The sequence below is a fragment of the Homo sapiens genome, chromosome X (genome assembly GCF_000001405.40).
Source record: "Homo sapiens chromosome X, GRCh38.p14 Primary Assembly".
Taxonomy (NCBI): Eukaryota; Metazoa; Chordata; class Mammalia; order Primates; family Hominidae; genus Homo; species Homo sapiens.
The window spans coordinates 31,852,669-31,877,716 of NC_000023.11; the positions used below are offsets into that span (position 1 = coordinate 31,852,669).

The 25,048-nt window shown below is 36.2% G+C and overlaps 1 protein-coding gene across 20 annotated transcripts in view; it reads right to left on the bottom strand.

Annotated features, from left to right (window-relative positions):
- DMD (dystrophin) overlaps window positions 1-25,048 on the bottom strand; it is a 2,220,167-nt gene that overhangs the window by 733,447 nt on the left and 1,461,672 nt on the right. For all 20 annotated transcript variants that reach the window (XM_006724469.4, NM_000109.4, XM_011545467.2 and 17 more), the window contains 1 exon segment: window positions 22,520-22,705. In XM_006724469.4, the coding sequence (XP_006724532.1) occupies window positions 22,520-22,705 (186 nt within the window).

The following is a 25,048-nucleotide window of genomic DNA, read 5'->3' on the forward strand; positions in this document are numbered from 1 at the left end:
TCCTTCAAGTATGCATAATTATTCCACAATGTAAACATATATCAAAACATCACATTGTACCTCATAAATATATGTACTTATTATTTGTCAATTAAAATAAAATAAAAAATACAGGGGTATTTTTAATAATCAAACATTAGAAACAAATGCTTTTCTATAAACTCCTTATATAGACTCATAGAAAGAGTTAAACAATTTATAATTAGAATTTATTTGTTTATTTATTTACTATTTTGACACAGTCTCGCTCTGTCGCCCAGGCTGGAGTGCAGTGGCATGATCTCGGCTCACTGCAACCTCTGCCTCCCCAGCTCAAGCGGTTCTTGTGCCTCAGCCTCCAGAGTAGCTGAGATTACAGGCATGCACCACCAAGCCTGGCTAATTTTTGTGTTTTTAGTACAGACGGGGTTTTGCCATGTTGGCCAGGCTCGTCTCGAACTCCTGGCCTCAAGTGATCCACCCATTTCGGCCTCTCAAAGTGCTGGGATTACAGGTGTGAGCCACTGCACCTGGCCAATTTGTAATTATACTTTAGAGCAGAGGTTAGCAAACATTTTCTATAAAACACCATATAGTAAATATTTTAGACTTTGTGGGCCAAACTCAAATTCTGCCAATGTGGCATGAAAGTAGTCAGGTCTAATACATGAACAAATAAATGTGGCTGTGTTCCAATAACTCTTTATTTCTGAAAATAGGTGGAGGACTAAATGTGGCCCTTGGACCATAGTTTGCTGACTCTTGCTTTAGGATATTACAGTGTTGTTGGAAATAATCAGTCTAGAAATAAGAACATCTGGGTTCTAGGCTTATTAGCCCATGAGTTGGGGCAAGTCATTTAACTGCTCTAAGTTTCAGGTTTCAGTATCTTTAAATATAAAATAAATGAAACTAACAGATATTACTGTGAGTAAAGGGTTAAAAACACCCTTTGTCCATCTGTATGAGAATTTGTACTTTGATCAACTTTCTAGCTCCCTTCTCCCTAGAAAACTGATAAAGTTGGAATGTCAAATGTGTGAGCAGGCAACATTGCTTCAGATTAAAAAAAAAAATGATGGGGACTGGTAAATTACACCTTGGTTAGGTGTTCTACATATGAACTATAAATACCTAATGGAAAACCATAATTGTGGGGCGTCCCCAAGTACAACAATTCTTGTAACTAAGCATGTCCTTTTTGAGGACCTTGGAAACTATGTTACAAGGCATTGGCCTCTGGGATGCATAAGGCTTCTAGGCCAGGGTTGACCCAGCATCTCGATTTGTTTCCTTCCTGTGCACCTGAGATGTCATGAGAGAGTGGACAGGTGCTGCAAAGTGAATAGCTCTTGGATGGCTCCCTGGGTGCTTCAGAGATTGCTACGCATACTCATCCTACTAAAGAGAGATACCCGATGCTACCTTCCTGCTAAGCTATATTCCTATATCCTTCTAAGTGCCTTTGCTACTGAATGTGGTCATAGTATTGTTCAGTTGCACCTAATCAAAGAAGACTTACTGTTGTGTTTTACAATAATCAATTATAAGACTCACATTTTATTTCAACAGGTTAGCTGCTCTGAAATTGGGACACGTTTTATAAATGATAGCGTGTCATAGTCTAAAACGGCAGCACATTTTTCTTGGTGAAAAATAAAATAACAATGCATACTCTAATCAATGGTATCTTAAAAACAGTAAAATATGGAAAGTGATCAGGCTTTTCATAGTAGGTCAGGATGAAATGATTTAGTACATGTAAAGGTAATACTGCTACCATTTGTTGGAAACTGACTAAGTGCAAACACTCTGCTATGCACTTAACATAAATCATCTTAATTAATCTCAATCTCCATTGCAGAGCCTCTCAGCAATACTATTACCATTTTTTCAGATTAAAAAACTAGAGTCACGAAAGGTCAGAAACTTGCCTAGGGCACAACCTAACATATGGTGAATCTGAGATTTGAACCCTAGTCTTTCTGAGGCAAATCCTGCATACATAATTACTATGCTACAGGGTCTCTGGATTTAAATATTGTACCAATAAAAAGTAGGTTTTATTTGATGAATCCTACGGCTCAGAACGGAACAAAGTAGTTTCGATTAGGATGTAATGTGAGTTTCAATCAGGGTTTCTCAGCTTCAGCCCTATTGCCATTTGGGACTGGATAATTATTTCTTGTCGGGAGCTACCCTGTGTACTGCAGGGTGTTTTGCAGCATGCCTGGTCACTATGCACAAGATGCCAGTAGCACTTTCTCCTCCCCCATGTGTGACAACCACAAATATCTCCAGCAATTGCCAAATTCCCCTGGAATCATCTGTGGTAGAGAAGCATTCTATTATTGAATACATGAAGGAACAAATGAAAGAATGTCTGTTCACGGTCTGTATTTTCAGTGTACATGAATTAATATGACATGATATGAATGTCTTTCCTTCCTTTCTCTTATATACAACATTGTATGTAATGTCATCTGTTCATATACTCTTTCAGATGCACTTTTATCACGCTATGTCTCTTAACATTCATTTGAGTGTGGTTCTGATGAATTCTAACCATCATGGCATGTTTCAGTTTCTGGCTGAATGGGTCCTAATATCTCTGGATTATATACCCCAAAAGGATTAGGGAATACAGTAGATCTAAGGACTAGAAAGGCACATATTAAACAAAAGTGATTTTGACATATCTCTGAATAGTGGCCAGTGATATTTGCATTATTTTAAACCAATATAGAGCATCTCTAAGTTATTATCCATATAGTAATTGGACATGGTTCTTTAAGTCTTAACAGAATATTTACTTAAATCTGTTATTATTAAACACTAGAAGTTGCTTTTTAAAGATAAAACAGCCATTAGGCTAATTTTCATTAAAAGCAAAGAAAAGAGCAATTCAATTCTGACTTCATGACTGACATGCACTTTAAATAAAATTAAAGATGTTTTGTTTTTACTATTAGGTTCTGTACCAAAATCATAGTCATTATCTAAAACAACTCTTTCTAAGTGCTACCATAACTAATAAACTCAAGCAATCAAATGGGTAATTGAATTAAACTCGTATTTTTTTAAAAAAAAACAGCAACAATATATCTGCATTCTCTCTTCTGAATACTCTTCCTAAACATGTACAGGAAACAGCAAATATATGGGTTTCTGAAATCAAGAAAAAGGACACATTATGTAATAAAGCCAATTCCTGGTTTACTCAATATGTCAGTCTTCATCTGTGATACCAGGTCTTTAGACTGTTGCACTTAGCCTTTATACACTTATAACTCATGATTTCCATATGTTCCACTAAGTAGCCATTTTCACTAGTCTCCTGAAAAGTCAACGATAAGATTTTGGATAAGGAATTGTAGACTTATATATTAGGTGCATATAATCCAGAACTCTACTAGAATCTAGAATATACAGACAACTCATATTAATCGGTAAGAGAAAGTAAACAATCCAACGGAAAATTGGGGTAAATATATGAAGAGTCAACTCACAGAAGGAAAAATCTGTCCAACAAACTTGAAAACTTGTTCAACCAGGGATATGCAAATTAAAATAATAAATTCCTGCCACTTCTTGCTGCTGGTGGAAAAGCAATTTGCAATATATGATAAAATTAAAAATGTGAATACTCTAATGAGGTAACAATTCCACTTCTAGGTGTTCTCATATGTCTATCTGAGGAGACCTACAGAGAATGTTGTTTCAGCATTGTTCATTAGTGAAGAGCTGGAACAATCTGATTATTCACTGTTAATCTAACGGGCACATTGATTGTTTGGTTTCTATTAAAATCAAGAATACTTTTACCAGATTACTTCTGTATTCTAAAGCCATTAAAAATCTTTGTTCGTATTTTTATGGAGTCCAAAGTTCTATTTAAGCTAGTCATAAGCAAAGTTAATGCTACTATTCATAATGGACTCATTGAAGATACTAAAGATAATAAAATAACAATACTATCTCTAACAAATTGGACTTTAGTTACAATGGCATACACAGTACAATGTCCAAATAACATCTGTTCAGTTTTGAGTGAAGCACAGGAACGTGTATGTATGTATGTGTGTGTGCATAATTTGTATTTGTGTTATCTCTCCAATTATGTAAATCACTAATACTTATTACTATGCTAATACCAGAAGACGTATTGTAATAAAGGTCACATGAATTATTAATTTTTGTGTTTCTTATCACCTATTTCATCAAATAATTTTAAAGACAGAGATGCTATCTATCCACACTTTCTCTACTTGTCATTCACAAAAGTTCCTTCAAACAAATCTTAAAAATTAAAAGTATGCGCACATGGCTTTGTAGTTTCATGTTTCAGTAAGGAGAATTTTACTTGGATCCTATACATTATTGTGAGTGCTTCCATGTTTTGCCTTCTTAATGCTTACCAAAATTATTAATGTCAAGAATACCAATCTTGGCCAGGCATGGTGGCTCACGCCTGTAATCCCAGCACTTTCGGATGCTGAGGCTGACGGATCACTTGAGGTCAGGAGTTTGAGACCAGCCTGGTCAACATGGTGAAACCCTGTCTCTACTAAAAATACAAAAATTAGCCGGGTGTGGTGGTGGGCACCAGTAATCCTAGCTACTTGGCAGTCTGAGGCAGGAGAATCCCTTGAACCCAGGAGGCGGAGGCTGCAGTGAGCTGAGATCGCAGCACTGCACTCCAGCCTGGGTGATGGAGCAAGACTCCACCTCGGAAAAAAAAAAAAAAAAAAAAAAAAAAAAAGAGAATACCAATCTCATTTTAATGACCAGCATGTTACATAATCAATTATTATAAATGATTTTAAGCTGTTTAATGTTCAAATTAAAACTTTTCTTAAAATAGCCTAATTTAAATAATTATGGATGTTTTCATTAACTATATTATTTGTGCCCTGTTATGTTCGGTAACTGCCAAATATTCATTGTGTCAAGGGGGTCACCAAAGTGTTCAGAATTTGGAAACTGTAGCTTCAGATGTATTAAACATGCAAACTCTACTTTTTTATATGTATCATTTTGAAATTACAGAACAAACTGAATGCATTTACACTAAGTAATAATTGAAGCAGTTAACTTGGCCCTACGGTGTTTCCTTTTCAAAATATATGTCAGATATATACAGAGAAGTGTTTAATATCCCCTATATGCACAGATACATATATCATATATATGATATATGAAATATATAAGGAATTTAAATTTTCTATATCATGAATCACATACTGATTCATTCATTCAGTATGTGAATGCATGAGTCTAATCCCACTGACACTATTGCTCAAAGGAGGGTCAGGAAGAATAGGGGGGAAAATGATGTGAATAGGAAAACAGTAAGCATATGGCAATTTTGAAGTATTTGGAATACAAAGTTATTATAAGTTGAGTACAGCTGACAAAAAAATGCATAGTAACATCAGCTAACTTTGCCTAGTAGATGATAGGGGTACTTATATAAAATAGAATTGTATTTGTTAATTAGAATCATAATATACTCTTCAGTGATACAGAACTTAATATACTAAGTGAAATCTCAGTATATAGAATTGTATATTCAAGAGGACATATTGCTATGGCATTTCTAAGCCGTAAATTCAACGCATAAAGTTTGGATGATTACATCTTCATTGGAGAGAATCATGTTACTTTATGATATATTTTCATACTGATAACATCTAAGTTTATTCTGAATTAGGATATATGAAGTATTACTTAAAACCCTTCAGAATGTTACATAGTTTTGTTAGAGACATGCATCTTTAAATTATTTTTTAGATAATATATTATTATCATTTGGTAATTTTTCTCAACTCTCAAATATGAGTGGAAGTTTAAATTGGTATGAGTTCTTGAGATGGAAACTGAAGAGTGAAATAGCTTTATTTAAAATAGATACTTCTCCTAATGCTAAAACTTAAAGTATAATAAAAAAAATAAAATAGATAATTCTTAAAGTGTTCTTTTTAGTGTTCAATAATTTATATATATGTATTATATACATTATAGTTATAATGGCATATACAGTATAATGTTCAAATAACATCTGTTCAGTTTTGACAAATATATATATTTGTCTTTTTCTCCCCATTGGGAAATAAAGTAACAAAGATTATGGCCACAGTTTATCTTGCTTTTGTTTTTCCTCACAGCACCTGATAGAGAGTTCTACCTGTAAACACCAAGTTCACTCCCTCCTCCACTAAATGACAATGTAACAAGTGGCTTCAAGTTGCTCCAACTTTTTGGAAGGCATCCTTATACATAATGGATAATCACGCTTGTTTTTAGAGGTATCATAATTACAAATTTAGAATTCTAAGTGTTCTTCAGCAGTAACTCAGAGATTTAAGAATCCCTTTAGTAACTGATATAGTCAGCAGAGAACCGTATTTCCTGATGAAAATACAAGCTCAGAGCCACAAGGTCAGCAGGGTAGAGACTTATCAGGCAGACAAGAGGCACTGTTCCAGAGAGCAGAGGGTCAGAGGAGACTGCAAGTACCTGCATAGAGATCTCAGGTCATGTATAATGCTTCCTCATCTGTCAACCCAGCTGCCATTTTGGAGAGGAGCAGGAGGAGAGCAAGGAAATCTAAAAGACTGGTCATTATCCATGAGGTCCCAACCCATAAAAAGAGACTGGTGAAATCACTATTTCAGAGTGAGATGATAATTTTTTCTCACTGCCCAGTATGGGAAAGGGTTATGAAGATCACTGAGAAATAAATGAAGAAGTTTTCATTCTGAGAATCAATATTTGACTCCCGGACATACCCATTTAACTTCTCCTGCATATTTATTGTATGCATGAAAATGTATCTACTTAAGAATCTATGACAGTGCTTTTCAAACTGTGGTTCCACAGACCAGAAATAACAGTTTCACATTAAATTTTAAGAAGCATGGCTCTAGATAGGATATAGTAGAATAAGGAATGGATAAGTGTTAGCCTCCCAGATTTTAATTCATTTACATACTTATGGATATAACACTTATCTTTAAATGATACGACTTTGTGAATAAACAGCTTCATGAATATAGCTTTATGAGACAATGGAGAAAGGTGGCCAAATTTTTTAAAAAGTTATGATTAGAAGAATTGTGTTGTTTTAAGTATTGCAAATTGCAAGTGCAGAGCATGTCTGAATGTATCTGAAATCCCAACGTGTTATTTTCTACCAACAGTCAATGCCACCAAGGGAGGTAACTTGCAAGTTTAAAACCTTCCTCATTTAACTTCCATTGTTTCTGCACCGCGTTCTGTCTGCCAATCAAAGCCATCCCCTGGGCATTATAGTTAGTAAACCAGGTGGTCCATTCATCCACTTAAGCAGAAATTGTTTGAAAATGATTGGAAGTGTTCCCATTTTTCTCCTCCACACAGAATCAGAAAGAGATGACACCCATGGGCAGAGCAGAGTTTTCTTTAGAGTACATAAAAAAAAAAAACTGATAGCATGGCTTCTGACGTTCTCTCATAACTTCCTTCAAAGTATTATCTAAATTTCCTTCTAAAGGAGTAGTGAAGGACTGCTAAGTAAAAACTAAAATTCTAATATGCAGTAAAAGCATTATTTCAAGAAAGTATAAACATATTTAGGGTGACAAAATGACTTTTTAAGGTTTATTTCAAAAGCAAGAGAATGATCTAGGAGAGAGTAGAACTGCTTTAGGAGAAAATGGTATAATATTGGTGAATGGAAAATAGAAATTGGAACCTTTTAATTTCTATTGGGTTTGTTTCTTGTATGTCAAGAGGAATGGTATTCTAACTGCAAAGAATAAAACAAATAGCAGTGAGAGGGAACTGGTGTCCAAGATGGGTAAAGAGATTAGAAAGCCCCCAGCTGCTCAGAATTAACTCTCTTGATGCAGATAAATTACATCTCAGTATGCTAATACAACTGGCAAGTCAAATGGCAAACCATTGTGGTTACTCATGAAGACTGGGAAAGTGCAGTTTTGATTTTCACAAGGAAAAATAAGTGTGGGAATAAAATGTTAAGCTTCCAGATAGTTATTTCAGATTTGGCTAGAAAATGCAATGCAAAGAGAAGCCACAAACCTTCTTTAGGTAATGTATTTTGAAAGAATGGGAGTCAGTTGACACAGGCTCTTTGCAAAGACAAACCCTGTTCTAGCCATCAATGTATTGTTAGATAAATAAGAAAATGAAAGCAAATATTTACATATTAGTTAAAAATTTTTTAAATCTCTACTTGTGCTACAATTTGTCATCATGTTGAACTTCTGTCCAGGATTGATGGCTAAGAAGAGCAAAGACCATTCCTATGCAATTCAAAGGTTAGTTTTGATGTTTTCAGGTTATAACCTTAAGACTAGAATCTGTCTGTTGTAGAAAACATTCATTAAAACCTTTATCATAGAAAACCATGTTTTTACTTCAAGTTGTAAACTATATTTGCCTTAGTAAGAAAGAGACCAATAACCCAAAAGAGAACATTGGCAAAAAACAAAAAAGTAGCAAACAGTGCATAGAAAAGGAAATAAAAATGATTCTGCAACACATGAAAAAATTCAAATTCACTCACAAAATGAATAAAGAATTCAAATTAAAATGACAGATATCACCATTTTTCTTGTTTAGAAGATCAAAAAGGTTGATAACACACTGAGTGGGCACGGGTATGGGGAAAAGAAACCTTTCCTAATACTGACGAGATGTTCTATGAAGAGCAATTTGGCAAAATGTACTAACAAGACAAATGCCAGTTTGACGCAGCCATTCGACGGCTAGGAATTTATCACATAGATATATTTGCAACGTGTAAAATGATGTGCACAAAGTTATACATTTTCTTATCTTAGCCAAAAGTCGAAACAAACTAAAGGCTCACTAATTGGAGTGCTGCTTAAGTGAATTATGGTATATCCTTAGAACAGAATAGTATGCAACTGTAAAAAAAAAAAAAAAGAGACAGTTCTTTAACTACTAATACAGAAAATAATCACCTGTGTGTGTGTGTGTGTGTGTGTGTGTGTATATATATACACACACACACACAGCATTTTACTCTTCCCTTTCTTATAAGGGAGGGAGAAGAGTGCTATACACACACACACACACACACACACACACACACACAGGCATTTTAGTCTTTCCTTTCTTATGAAGGAGGAAGAAGAGTGCTTTTCCTTCTGCCCTCGCCAAGCCAAGGAAAAGGGCTTCAAAAGAACCATCTTTTGAAGGATGCAGAAACAGTATTTATAGTATTCTAACAGCTGGCTTTATTTTAAGAGGACAAGAGTAGAAAATAATATACACACACACACACACACACACACACACACCTACATCCTATTCTTGGAAGGCTACCCAGGAAACTGAAAACCTTGGCAGCACATGGGGAGAGAAACTGTGTGGCTGAAAGACAACAATGCAACAGAGGATTTCAATGCTTTTGAATTTTGTACTGGAAGAAAGTATCTATTCAATAAATAAACAAAATTATTATTATTATTATTAAAGATGGAGTCTTGCTCTGTCACCCAGGCTAGAGTGCAGTGGTGCAATCTCGGCTCACTGCAACCTCCGCCTCCAGGTTCAAGGGATTCTCCTGCCTCAGCCTCCCGAGTAGCTGGGATTAGAGGCACTCACCACCATGCCCAGCTAATTTTTGTATTTTTAGTGGAGACGGGGTTTCATCACCTTGGCCAGGCTGGTCTGGAACTCCTGACCTCGTGATCCACCTGCCTCAGCCTCCCAAAGTGCTGGGAGTACAGGTGTGAGCCATTGCGCCTGGCCTATTTATATTATCTTTAAAGTCTGTTATACAGGGATAAATTTACCCCCAACTTTGTAATAATTAACCCAGTATGACATCACTGATACAGTACTAATTAACTCATTTTCTATAAAACTGTGCAGATTATCTTAAAATTCGAAACAAAAATGAAGTACAATACAAATGATAACAACAGTTCCAGAAAACAACACTTAAGCATACCACACGTAACACAATGTAATAACCTGCGTTATATTCTTTGGTACCCTATGCTATCTTATTCTATTTTATTTTACCCATTAAATGGATTTCATAACTCATCAGTGGGTTGTAAGATTCTCTCCCGGGCCTGAAAGCTTAAGGAGATGAGTAACTCCTCCTTTCTCAGGCCCATTCCTAAGGCACAAGGCTACTTGCCTGAGCAGCATGCACCGGCGAAATAGCAGAAGCAGGAAGAGAGCCGGCCAGAAGACAAGTACCTCTGAAGATCGAGAAAGAGGCCATCCGGGTACAATGCAGCAGTTACGTCAGGCCAGGAGACTTCCTGTTTACAGGAGACTATAAAACCTTTGTCCAGTCCTCACTTGGGGCTAACGCCATTTTAGGCCTGAGGCTGCCCGCACCCAGGCGCTCATTAAAACAGCATGTTGCGGCCGGGTGAGGTGGCTCACGCCTGTAATCCCAGCACTCTGGGAGGCCGAGGCGGGCAGATCATGAGGTCAGGAGATCGAGACCATCCTGGCTAACATGGTGAAACCCCGCCTCTACTAAAAATACACAAAATTAGCCGGGCGTGGTGGCGGGCGCCTGTAGTCCCAGCTGCTCGGGAGGATGACGCAGGAGAATGGCGTGAACCCAGGAGGCGGAGCTTGCAGTGAGCTGAGATCACGCCACTGCACTCCAGCCTGGGCGACTGAGCAAGACTCCGTCTCAAACAAACAAACAAAAAAAAGATTTGACTGGATTTGTTCCTGTGGTAGGCACTTCATTCCAATTTTCTTGCCCACTTTTTGGTTAATGACAGACTTTCTTCCGCTTTACAAAATAAAAGCACACCTCTCTGACCTATCCCACTGGTGCATTGTAGTCAAGATACATTTATGCCAAATAAAAGTACAATTCAAAATATTAGCGACTGAAATCCTTCTTTACTCAAGGTACCATCAAATACCCATCCATCTCATAATAGATTCATTTTCAATAACTATCCACTGAGTATGTTTAATAATTATTTATCAAAAGGTACATATATTTAGGTTATTTGGTTATTACTAAGTGTATTTATTATTAATACTTTAAATACTACTCAATCTAGAGAATTTTAAAAATACTTAGAGCCTTGTAGTCACAGGAAATTGTTTTTAAAAATTGAATTTAAGTCCACATAAATATAATTTTATAAAGAATTATGATAGAGTGGCTAATAAAACTTTATAGCATAAATATGTATCACATATTTATCACATTAGAATACAATTCATTGGGGAAGTTGAAAAATATGATTTAAATAAAAAGGAATAATATAAAACTTCTATTTATTAAATATGAGCTTTTTCATGTATTTTTAAGTATATGATGGTAGACATTATATTGCAATGGTATTTGGATTCCACGGGATACATTCTAAACTGTACTATAAACCCTTTTAAAATGTCAATATTTACTGTATCCCAAGGGCAGAAAATAGATGTCATCTTTAAAATGTGCAAGCAGATATTCAATTTTCTAAAATATTTTTATTTTTTATAAATACAATGGTCTGAATGCCACTATAATAGAGGTTCTTTGAAGCCCTCTTCCTTGGCTTGGCAAAGAGGAAAAGCACTCTTCTCCCCTCCCTCATAAGAAAGGGAACAGTAAAAGTCATAGAAGTTTTCTCATGTCCAACAAATTGTTAGTCCTATTTGAATGATCTGTTCCAGGAATTCTCATTCAAGAAACTGTTCTCAAGTTTATCCTTTTCCTTATATGGGCAAGTTAGGTTGGTGAACGATGAAAATCTCATGACCATCTACTCCCTTTTTTGGAGTGTTTTTCTGGTACCAACTTGCTGCTGTAGGGGTATTTTGAAGGCCTTTTTTTTTTTTTTTTTTTTTTTTAAAGAAGTCTTGCTCTATTCCCCATGCCGGAGTGCAGTGGTGTGATCTTGGCTCACTGCAACCTCCGCCTCCTGGGTTCAAGCAATTCTCATGCCTCAGCCTCCCAGGTAGCTGGGACTACAGGTGCGTGCCACCATGCCTGGCTAATTTTTTCTATTTTTAGTAGAGATGGGGTTTTGCTATATTGCCCAGGCTGATCTCAAACTCCCAAGCTCAGGCAATCCACCTGCTTTGGCCTCCCAAAGTCCTAGGGTTACAGACGTGAGCTACCATGCCTGGCTGAAAGCCTAATTTTTATTGTTAGTACCTCTTACCATAACTCCTGATACAACAAGAAAGGTCCCATTCACTGTCTTTTTCTACGCCTTAGGAAATGTGTTCCCATCTTAGTTTTGCCTTATCTAACAGAGTCCCAGGGAAATTCACTCAATTTTTCATTTTTAGTGAAGAAGAAGGTCAGGTTAAAAAGGGTAAGTGAGTTAAACAATATCGTAAAGCCAGTAAGTGTCAGCACTGGGATTCAAACTTAGTCTTTTGTTTCTTTCCCCTTATTATTCTACTTCAACTCAGCAATGGTTTTTGGAGTTGAGTAGAAAAAACAAAAAGTAAGAGGAAGATTATGGTACCCAGTGTTCATAAAGAGAAGCAGATGCCTAATTCCACTAATAGATGAAACTATCCACAAACTTAAACAAACACGCTTCAAGGTGTTATCAAGCCAGAATTATACTCTTGCCCAGAGGCAACCTAAACTCAGGAGAAAAACATTCAATAAATCTGTGTTCAGTTGCATGGTAAAAGGGAATAATTTGTCTTTTTGTCCAGTAACTGTCATCCAGTGTTTTTCAGGACACATTCCACTGATATTTTCATATCCAATATAAAACACTGAAACTTTTTTCTAAAGGTCTCTTCCTTGTTCCTTACCTCCCGAACACCACTTTTAAAAAATTTTTTTTAAAAATGAAATCAGATAACAGGTGAACTTGAGCTAGTACACATCTATCTAAGGGAGTTACTATTTGAATTTGAATTATCCATTCTAAAGTGAATTTAATGACATTAACCTCTGCAAAGCTAATTTTGTGAATGTTGAGTACACTCCTGACTGATTAATTGGGAATCCATTGGTAAGTCTGACTCCTTACCCACGAAAGCGTGGAAGCATGGTAACATCAGATTTTGATTCTCAGTAATCTGAGTATATTCTTGAGTCTAGAGTCCCAGGCTTCTTTGTTTGAAAAGCATCATTGGTTTAGAACATGGAAAATTCTTATTGAAATCTCATTTGGTTCAACTTCAGATTTTCAGTATTTAGAGAAATCATTTTCTGTACAGATCACGTTTGTAGAGACCTCATTCATGTTTCCTTTTTTTGTTGTTGCTGTTCCTTCGGTGCCTCTTTCCTCCAGGAGACATTCTCACTATTCTGTTTCTCCTCCTCTGAAGACTACTGCTGATTAGATGCTTCACCTCTATGGCACAAACTAGGCTTCTCTTCTTGTTAGTTTGATTTTTACTAAAGATGAACTTCAATGGCCTCTTCCGAAAACATAAGCACTCCCTAAGCTGGCTCATCTAAGACCTCTCCCTTCCCATCACCACCATTCCTCCTTCTTCCTTTGACTACTTTTGATCTTCCCTTTAGCTCCCTTAAATCCTTCAGCATATTCCTCTTCAAACCCGTACCTGCTCCATCTCTTTGTCCATCCATGACAGACCTTTCTCTTCCTACTCCAGTCTCTCAACTCTCTATGGTCTCTAAAGCGTTATGCTCCCTGCCACTACTGGGGGCTCTGGAAAACTCAAACCCCAGAAGCAACCACCTGAGGTTGAAAAAGCTAATTGGAAACAGACTGGATACCGTGTACGTTCAGATGGGATTTGGAGATACCCAGATGGCCACTAGGTATCTCCTCAGTCATTTACTCAAATTTTAGAACACAGCCTCCATAAATTACATATCAGGGCAAAAGAAAATCTTAAAAGGCTCCTCCACAAATATTGATGTAAACTTTTAGCCCTCATATTGAGTAGGTGAATTTAACTTGTATTCATAAGCTTTGCTAGTTGGCTATGAAATACTGGTATATGACAAACAGTTCACACTTAGCTAATTCCTAGTTTTCTCTATAAAATAAGACTTACTAATGGTTAAAAATATAATCAATATATGTAAATAAAACTTCCAGAAACATTAGGGGTAAAGGGAAACAACTTTGTATGCAAAATATACAAGGTATGTTGGATGTGTTTTTGTTAAGGAAAAAGAGAATAACTTTGTCCTAAATTAAAATGACTGTGAAAATGAGGAAGAGGAAGGTATAGGACAAAATCTGAATGAACATTGGAAATGGCAGAAGATTTGTGGAAGGAGAGTCTTATGTTAATAGCCAATGCTGGCTAAAACGGAATGGATTTATGTGTATGTAAACTCTTACAAATGACCCTTAGTATCAACAGTGTATTGATCAAAAATGAGTTGTAGTTTCTTTTTGTTAAAAAATGATAAAATATTCTTGGATTATTGGTCTGCTCTTTTGAAATAAAATTGAATATACTTAAGTATGCAACATATTTTGATATATATATATATATATACGCACACACAAAATTGCAAAACAATTATTTCGGTCAAACTAATTAACATTTTCATCTTTTCTATTGGTCTTCTCTTAATAAGAGATTGCAAAATTTGTTTTTTTTTTTATATTTTGGGTAATCTGTATAGGAAACAAATATTGTTTCTTATCAGAATAAGTACCTGTGTTGATTTTGTATGTCCTTGAATTTTTTTAGAAAGTAGTGTTTTCTCTTTGGAAAGAACTAAAAACTTTTACCGTCATGTGGCCTTCTACATTTATTTTTGAAATCTTTTATTGTCATCTTGGTTACATAGGTAGCCATGCATTCTTTCATAGTGAGCAATGATCCTATTCAGCCAAGTATTCAAACCTTTTGTCATTTTACAACCTTTGATATTTTGCTTTTCCCAGGTCAATTCTTAAATAAAATTTTTTTTAATCTCAGATTGGTTTGAAAAATTTCAAAGGATTTGTTCCTGCACCCTTGTAAAATGAAGGATGTTAAAAATAACTAGGTTCATTTGGTATGTTGAGTTGCATAAAAAGCTTTGACAAGAAGAGATGCTGAACCTTGACTAGGTTATAGTTGTATGGGTCAACTATTATTAGTATAAATACTTGAAAAATTATAATAAATCCTTAGAACTTTGTTAGTGCTCTAGGTGCTCTAGGTGTCCATGACACATCCTGGTGCTACTTTATCCGATAATAATATTATGTCATCAGTCCTAACTCCAGTTGTTATTTTAAAATGTGGCATGGCACCAGGGAAAAAAAAAATTTCTTGTCGAATGAATCAGATCTTTAATTATGGCCATTTTAAGTCTTTTGTCGTTCACAGATAGTTTTTGGTTTATGCTGATGCTTCCCTGAGTGCTCTTACAATCAGTTAGAGGTCAGAATGCATCATCTTCAGTAAAACAGGACCATCTTTGAGACCCATAGGAAGTACTACGACAGGTACTCTGGGACACAGACTTCTGATGCCATTGCTTAAATAACTTCGAGATTATACCATTGGACAAAGTCAGGATTTATGAAACTCTGTGAAGAAGCTGATGAGTTCATGAAACTACTAACTCAAGATCAAGCAAGACAAGAATTAACTACATGGGCCTGAATGAACTGATAAAAGATTTGATTATGGCTTTTGTTTAAAATATTCCTCATGTTTTAATGTTCTGTTTGCTAAATACAAGAAACGCCTTTCCTTTTTCTCTTAAGTTATCTATAACTCATGAGAATTTAGAGTATGCTTTTGTAAACAGAATGAAACATTAATCTTTTTATCCCTGCCTGATCCCTGTAAAATTCAGAAATTCTTACCGAGTATTCTTATTTTCATGGCAATATAATTATTTGCATAGGCTCAATAAATATATTTAGGTAACAAGACATAATTGAAAAAAATATATAACCAAGGCTTTGACTGGAATGTCATATTTGAGAATTAAGTGCATAGAGTCAGATGTGACCAGTTTTAAGGAGCTACTCTTGACTATATGGAGCTAATATAAGCCCCTTTTGGGAAAACTGTCCCGGTACCTGGCTTACAGAATTCCCAATCTTACAACTGAGTAAGGAAGGTCTATTCTTAGGAGACCCAGGAAACCAAGGGTATTTTAGGAACCTGGAAAACAGAACACTTCAGCTGAATCTATAGGTATTTTACTTCAGGTAAAATCTGATGTCAAGTTCTTGACTTGCCTTCCTAAACTTTGGAGACTTTTAAAAAATCAAATCTGAGGTTTCATATTTTTTAAACTACTTTATTGAGGTATGATTGACAAACAGAAAGCTGTACATATTTAATGCATAGAACTTGATGAGTTTGGAGATAAAGTATATATACAAAACCAATACCACAATCTATGCCATAAACCTATGCGTTACCTCCAAAAGTTTCCTCTCACCTTATGTACCACTGCTCCTAAAAGAGAGTAGTAGTATTTTGTGGTAAGAACACTTAAACTCTGCCCTCAGCAAATTTCTAATTGTACAGTACAGTATCGTTAACTATAGGCACTATGCTGTACAGTATATCTCTGAAACTTATTCAGCTTGTGATTCTTCATGAAAACTTCCAGCTAATCACACTTAAAATAGCCTATTTGGTAAATTACCATTTTTGCTACCCCTATATAAATAAATAGGCCAGTCTTATTTTATAAACAAGGAAAGTCTTACTTTGATTAACACTGATCAAAAGGGTGATGGTAGAGATAGAGTTTCAGTAACCCTTGGGGTTATCAGATTCTAGTCCTGTTCATTGTCTTTGATCTATTTTGCATTTCTTTGTAAACGACATGATTTTTTTTTTTTTTTTTTTACCTACCTGTAAATTGATCTGGATCCTGCTGTCTTACACATTTTGTCCGTCCTTACCAATTTTCAGTTTATTTCCTTTACAATCTGGCTGCGATTCTCCAAATTAACATTTCAAATTTTTCTCCCACCATCCTGACTTGGTGACACTGAGAACTAAAACGTGACTGCCCATATTATTACTGAGATAAGGACTCTCTTCTCTAGGTTGTCTTATAGCTGCCATTTCCCCACAATATCTAAAGAAGCCCTGCAAGCAGAAGCTGGATGACTTGCTATAAACTACAAAGGACTCACCACCACAGCAAATTATGTATAGACAACTTTCATGCCTGGAGCTGCTGCTTTGTAGGCCATGCAAAAAGTTCAGTAAACTCCAACCTCTTCCGTGCCATGCTCCAAGAAATCCATCGGATTGCTACTGCCATCCTCACTCTACCATCTGAGAATGCCTACAGCCCAGCTTCTAGGAATCTTTTTGACTTGCTGCCCTCTGGACTCAAAAACTGAGTTTGCAGTCTGCTTCAACCATTAATCTTCGTCTTCCTTCTAACTTTCATGGAAATCTCCTTCATGAAATGTCTGATTACTACCAAGTGTCAGAGTTCGTTCAGCTAGTCCTTCAACAACAGAAACCTGCTGAAATGAACTAGATGAACTGGCGTTCCTAAGTTTTTCAATGGGAAAACTGGTTTCCCTTGAACAAAATGGAGGGTTGACAAAGAAAGCTTTAAAAATACCCTGAGTTTGACTACATTTGAGACAGATTTCTTCCTGACTTTAGACCTGACCTTCCTTTTCTTAGAGCATTTACTCTAGAAAACTTTATATATTATTTCTCTACTTTTTTGAGACAAAAATATTCTCCTAGCCTCTTGCCACTTTTATACCTCAGGAATAAACTTTCTCAAGGACTTGGGAGCTAGCACTTTGATATAGAATCATCAAAAAAGATAGTGCCCCAATCTGCTAGTCTTCTGTTGGGAGGATAGGAATCTAACTTTGATAAGTGCCAATCAGCAAACACAGATGGCCTAAATAAGCACATTGACTAACCTCCCTCCTGATATCTAGTACTTTCTCACTAACTCATCTCAGCACTTAGAGGCTCTCCTGCCTTTTATTTCAGCAGAATTGAGTTCAATCTGTCTCCTCTATTGCAAAAGTTTTGAACACAGTCTTTCTTGTCTGTTGTCTAGTGCTATTTTTCTTTGACAACACTCACAGCAATGTGAACACACACAGTGTTCAGTGACTTTAATGGTCAGTCACTACAATTGAGTCCTTTGGTAGTTTTTAGTGTGGATTTGACATTATGGGCAATTATGCTCCTTATACTGCAAGGAAGAGCCAGCAGAGCCACATGTCATGTTTATTTATAAACCACAGAAGGAAAGTGATTCTTGAGGGGAGGAAAAAACCCCCTCCCTGTGATTAAGATGAAAGTATTTCAGTCACTAAGCCTTAACATAAAATTATGTGTCCCGCCACACCTCATATTTTAATAAAAAGTTTGGAAAGCAGTAGTCAGTCTTATGTCAGATAAATAGTATACCTCTAGCTCATTATTGAAAGCATTCATTAAAGGTTAAAAACATAAGACCCTTTATAGAAATTCTAAACTGGTCCCGGGATCTTAGCATTCAATTATCATTTCTGAAATCTGAAATCAACATATTTTATGTCTAAATTGAGAGTATATTTGAAAATCAAAATTCAAAGGCATGCCTTCTAGTGGGCTGACTGATGGGAAAGGGCTGTGATTACGCCTAATTTTCACCCTCTACATCACGATCTCATTGATTATGTTTCTCAGCTTGCTAAGGGTTCTGTGAGGTGATTTTCAAGATGAATATTGCTATTTGCAGGATTTCCTGAATAGGAATATTTCGGGAGTAAATTGCACAAACCAAGCAATGTGCAGTCAATTTTCACTCCAGCATAAACAATGTATTAGAACACAGCCCTTAAAGCTTTTTTTTATCTGGGTTTCACTACACAGCTAGCTGCATTTCATCAATAAGAGTGAAGTACCAAGCAGACAAAACTGAGGCTCACAGAGAGAGGGTATTACATATTTTTCTAACAGGTGTGCTCAGAGTTTGACTAGAGAAAACAAACTACCCGAATGGCAAGGCCTCAGACCCTTTGTTTCCGAGGCAGCTATGGCCACCATGGCCAGACAAGGCAAGTTTCTTTACATTTAGGATTTGGAGCTAGGGGCGTGGCTGTTCGTATATCTACTTCCTTTGCATTAACTCTTTCTTAAGATTTTAGTAAAGGTGTTTTTTTTTTTTTACCTTGTGTTAAAAAAAAGGGCATGTGCTCAAAACTCCTTAAAAATTTTATTTTTGGTGTTCAGTAGTTTGAAACTAAGTAAAGCAAAGTCTAGTGTCCCATCTTTCTTTAATGGAAAAATAGTTTAATTCCTTTAAGCAGAGGAATACAGCAGGCTGTAAGGACTAATATCCTATATCTTAAATCAGAAAAACTGTGCAATCTTAATAAATCATTTATTAGTGAAAGGAATGGAAGCTAGACAAAGAGGGATAAAAAACAAGGTAAATTATTATTCACACAGGTCACCATTTCCTAATTATAAGCTGGGGGTTTGAGAATTTTTGGGAGAAACTCTCAAGTCATCAAATCTATGATTTTATGTTTCCCCTCCCCCCACCTTGAACACAGCCACAAGCAGAAGAAAAAGGCTAAAAGAGTATTTTTGAAGTCTGCACTCCAGAGATAAGAAACTCGGAATGTGCTCAGAGGACTGAAGCCAAGGAGTTTTCTGCCAGGAAAAAAGCAGCTCCCTCTCCCCTCAGTGATTTAAAACAAGCTGCAGGAGGCAAATATCATGACTCTCAGAAACTACACACAGCAGTGAGTGGTGACTTGTAGCTTTGATAAAGAAAAGTGATTAACACAGCCGAGTATGGCTTTCACTTCAAACTGCAGGGACCCATTTGGCAGAGCCCTATGGGCCATAGACAATCGAAGACACAATGCAGGTTTTCATTATTTGAAAACCATTCCGGGGGGCACAGACTGGGACAAAAGTCATTTTGATTGAGTAAACAGGATCTATTTGTACCAAGGGATTCAAAAAAAAATCTTTTCTTAAATGTGTTCCAGGAAGAGAGATAGCTAGCATTGAGTATTTTTTAAACTATTATAATAAAGAGGCACATTTTAACCAAAGATTGCATTTAAAAGAGTAGAATGTGCTTTTACCGTGAGCTACAAAAAGCTATTTCTGGTTGGGAGGAAAGACTTTATGACCTTTCCTCTTCGCAATATTACGCCAGTTACTTTTTAAGAATATACTGGATATAAGATAATTGAGAATTTGGCTAAGGTTATTGTGTATTGGGCCAAGTAACTGTACTTTCTTGTTGGGGTTGTTTATTGAGCAGTGAAAAATCAGTATTCATGAGATGTAATTGTACTGGTGAATAGGAGCTAGTCAAACACCTCTGAGTACAATATGTACTAGCTAAGTGGAGAAATGGTCAGGATCCTAGAACTGATGGCTTCCCTGAGACGATGATGTGTTTTGTACGCACCCAGTCTTGCCCCTTGTGATCATGTATGACTAAAATTCAGGGTGATGGGACATCAGAAGCCACGTCTTGGTATCAAGACTTCCACTGTGCCTTTAATGTGCAGGCTGTTGTTACCCATCCTGTATAATTTCTTAAAGCTAACTAAATTTGTTACTGGGTAAAGCCTATTATGTCTCGTAAATTTAATCATCAGACTGAACCCAAGACTGTGCCACTGGCTGAGCAGGCTGAGTTTTGTGCTAGTGAAATGATGTCTACTTGTGACTTCCACAGTGCCATCTGCTCTTGAGGAGTAGCTATCAGAATGGTAGACATAAGTGTCAGGAGGAAGTAAGGTAAACATAGTCGAGAACATTTTGCTAATCTAACTCATTTTAGTTGTAGCAAACTTCCCTCTATCTCCTTGTTACTCATGCCCATCTTCCCGAAACTTTTACTTCCTCTTCACTAGAATATTCTCAAACTTCCTTTTCCCTTTGCTCTCAGTTCCAGCAAAACAACAGCTAAATGGAGATTAAAATGTTAGGTTTTTACAATACTGGACAGTAAATAAATTTAACAATTAAAGTCAATTAAATAAAAGAAAAAACTACTCAAAAATGTTACTTATCCTTTTTACTCTGAAGTTGCCCAACAATACATTCATTAATAGATTGTAATTTCAACGATTCGGTTTATTTGATTGGCTACTTAAAGATTTTGGCAAATAAGGAGACGCAAAACGGGGCAGCATATTGAAAGAATCTTTGGAATAGATTCCTTGAAAGGGAGAAAAGAAGATCAATCAGCATTTACAAGGACACTAGAAGAAGGAGATAGTGGTGTTCAATTGGCAGGATTGTCTGAAGCCTTACGCTTACCTGCAGTATCTCATTCGTATTCTGGGTGTCTTGGTACTGTCTTTATTCATTGACTTAAAAACACTCACAAGTAAGCATCATTTACTGGATCCTAGGCTGAGTGTGTATGATATGAGTGGAGAAGCAGAGATAAATAAGAGAATGCCCTCTGCACTCAAAGAACAGTGCAGATGTGTAATGAAATACTCAGGTGTATAAAATTTAAGTGTAAATCAACATATGAACAATGGGAGATGAATAAAAAGGTTTATAAGAAATCCTAACAGGGATTCTAACTCTACTTGGGGTACGGAAGAAAACTTGGAAGACGCAATGACTTTGAATTCATTCTTAAAGAATGGAAGAAAATTCATTATATCAAAATAAACTGAAAGAAGTCATTTAAAGAAGAGAGAAAACCAAGATCACAGGTATGACATGAAATTACATGGATGGAAAGGTACCAGGTAATTTGATGTGGCCAGACTATACGGGGAGATTGCTGGCAGAATGAGAAGATAGAAAGGTAAAGTGTAGTCAGTCTGAGAGGGCTTTACAATGTCTACAAAAGAGCCCAGACATTATATTTTAGGAACCTAATCTCATAAACAACTTCAATTTTGGATAAGGAATCTATGAATATGTATTAAGCACAATTAAAACAGGGATAGAAAATGAATCACAGTAACAAATATGATGCAGGCATTCTAGTAACATAAGTTTAATGAAGACCTTATTTCTAGTAAATGCTGAGGAAAAAGCAACATATTCTAGTAAAATAATAATAATTATTATCATTATGACAACAATGATGATGATGACAAAGATTCCCTGCTTGACTAAACTTTAGTCAGGCTTCTGAACCTTCGCCTGGGCTCATCTTTGCACTCCCCTGTAAAATCCAGGTTCAGCAAAGAAGCCTGTCAGTTTTACAAGAACCCTTTATCCTTGGTACCTGATCACCCTCAGTATTCTCCACCATTCCCCAAGGGTTGTCTGATAAGATAACCCTGGCCTATCTTCAGCAAGAATCCTGTGAGGTTGGTTTAGCCAGAATCCCACTTACCCCTGATGTTTCCTCTTAATAATTTTCCATCTACTGACTCCTACACTGCTCCTTGGCTATAAATTCCTACTTCCACTGTGCTGTATTTAGAGTTGAGCCCAATCTCTCTCTATCCAACCTCCTGTAATACTCCATTGCAGTGGTCCCTGTGCCTATTGTGGTTATCCTGAATAAAGTCTTCCTTACCACACTTTAACAAGTAATATTTTGTCTTTAATAATGATACCAAATGAGAAAATTCAGTGATATTGCCATTTTTCTTAAAAAAGACAAAAATATTTAAAGCAAAAAGTTCCCTACCTTAACGTCAAATGGTCCTTCTTGGTTTGGTTGGTTATAAATTTCCAACTGATTCCTAATAGGAGATAACCACAGCAGCAGATGATTTAACTGCTCTTCAAGGTCTTCAAGCTTTTTTTCAAGCTGCCCAAGGTCTTTTATTTGAGCTTCAATTTCTCCTTGTTTCTCAGGTAAAGCTCTGGAAACCTGAAAGGAAAATACATTTTAAAAAGGTAAATAATTCTCAAGGCATAAGCCAAAATGTTTAAAAATATATTTTCAAAAGTTATTTATCATGAAATATTACAGAATCTTACTGATTTGTGTTATTTTAGCAGCATAATATTGATTATTTACATATATTACATGTTGGGATTTAACCAATGTATTCAAAATTATTCATTAACCTGCTACAAAAATTCTTTGCTTTAAAGAAACTAATACCTTTTTGGAATTTCAAAACACACACCTTACACAAAGGCATAGCCAACTGCAACTGATAAAGTAAAGAAATACATCTTTCATTTATTCACTCAGTTACTAAATATACTGGTGTGTTGTGTATTATATGCCATACGCGCTTCCTTTGCAGTTATAAAAATGAATAAGCCAAGTTATTCAGCATTAGCACCAGATATATAACACAGGTCTTCTAAATCCCAAATGAGTGATTTTTATTCAATGCGCATCCTAAAATTAAAACCAAACCAACTATAATTTTGTTTGTATAGCAATCATTTCTTCTACTATACTTGCTTCTAGCTTTCTTTTATGTCATGGAAGATTGTAAAAGGAAGTCCCTTCATGTACAAGGAAAATTGGTAAGTTATGCGTTTTTGTGAGCTATAGTTTGTGAGTCCTAGTAAACAGAAGCAGGTGGTTGAGATGAGAAGTAAAAAGAACATTTGGATTAGAGTAGACTGTAACAGAATGATTATAGGTTATTTTTATTAAGAGATCAGTATATGCCAACCATCATCCTTGGAAGTTTCACATTTGTAGACTTCCTTAATCCATCCAACAATGCTACGACATAGATATTATTATGATCCCACTATCACACATGGGTGATGACGTTGGGGTTGAAAAAAACATTAAATAGGTTAGGAAGCAGCATGACATGGTATTAAGCATTGTGAGGTCTAGAGTTAGGCCACTTGGATTTCAATTCTGGTTCTAGTTCTTGCCTAACATTTTAGCCAAGTTTTCTCTAACTCTCAATGCCTCCTCTGTAGATTGGGGACAATGATAGCACCTGCTTCATAGGATTACTGTTAGGACTCAGTAACGTCATCCCTGAACATACCTTAGAGCAATACTCTGCATGATAATGAATGACAATAAAGTTATTAAGTAGCAGTGATTATTGCTCAAGCTTACATGTAAATAAAGAGCCAGGATAGGCTGAGCACTGTAGCTCTTGCCTGTAATCCCAGCACTTTGGGAGGCTGAGGCAGGAGGATTGCTTGAGCCCAGGAGTTCGAGGCCAGCCTGGACAACATAGCAACACTCCCATCTCTACAAAAAAAAAACAAAAAAAACAAAAAACAAAACAAAACAAAACAAAAAAACAGAGCCAGAATAAACAAGAGTAAAGCTATTTTCTTCAGAATATCAAGAGTTAAAACTGGCATCCCAGAATAAAGAATTTAAACTTGTAATGATAGCTCTTTACGAGACTATTAACAATACCACTGTAATACAAAATATTACACTGCAATATGAATAAAATTTTATAATATACATCTGTTCCATAATAATATATTATGAATAATAATAGAGAAGATTTTAAAAATAAACTAGATAATATACCAGTGTGTCACATAAACAATGTCACATGCTTTGGAACAATTGTTTTAGATACTTTTAAAATAAGTCACTAATGAACAGTACATTGTTTAATTGGATGCAAGAGTTAGGAGATGAAAAAGAGAAAGTTGTCGAGAAAAAAATCAATTAATGTACAGAAAAATGAATTTTAAACAAGATTGTATACGTAAACAATATGTACAGTGAAACGTCTTGTAAATGCATGTATATATGTTGTGAAAAATTCATGAGACTGTATAAGCAAAGGATTAACATCCAGCCTGGGCTGTTGCAGGTCAGTCTGGGACTGACCCTAGGCTCCCACAGCACTGTTTCCTTGGAAACACTAACTTTAAGATGAATGGGAAATGTTGGGCCTGGCTTTGTCGTGTGGAACTGCACCTCATCGCAGGAGCTGTCAGTTGGAATACAGTCCTTGGATCCACGTGACTACAATGGTGTAAAAGACTGATGGGAAATACAGGTGGTGGCTCCTGTTGAAGGTGACCTGCACACTTCTTGCCTCTCATTCCTGGCAGCCTTTCCCTGTGTGGGTGAGAGTTGGGCAAAAGAAGCATTGTGTTTCAGATAGCACAGAATGTCCATGAATCATGAATTGAGATATTGTTCTCTTTGCTTGATTTGTGTTTTGTGAGTTCACATCCATAACTACACCTGTGGTGCTGAACTCTTGTGTGTGTGTGTGTGTGTGTGTGTGTGCACGCACGCGCGCACACAGGT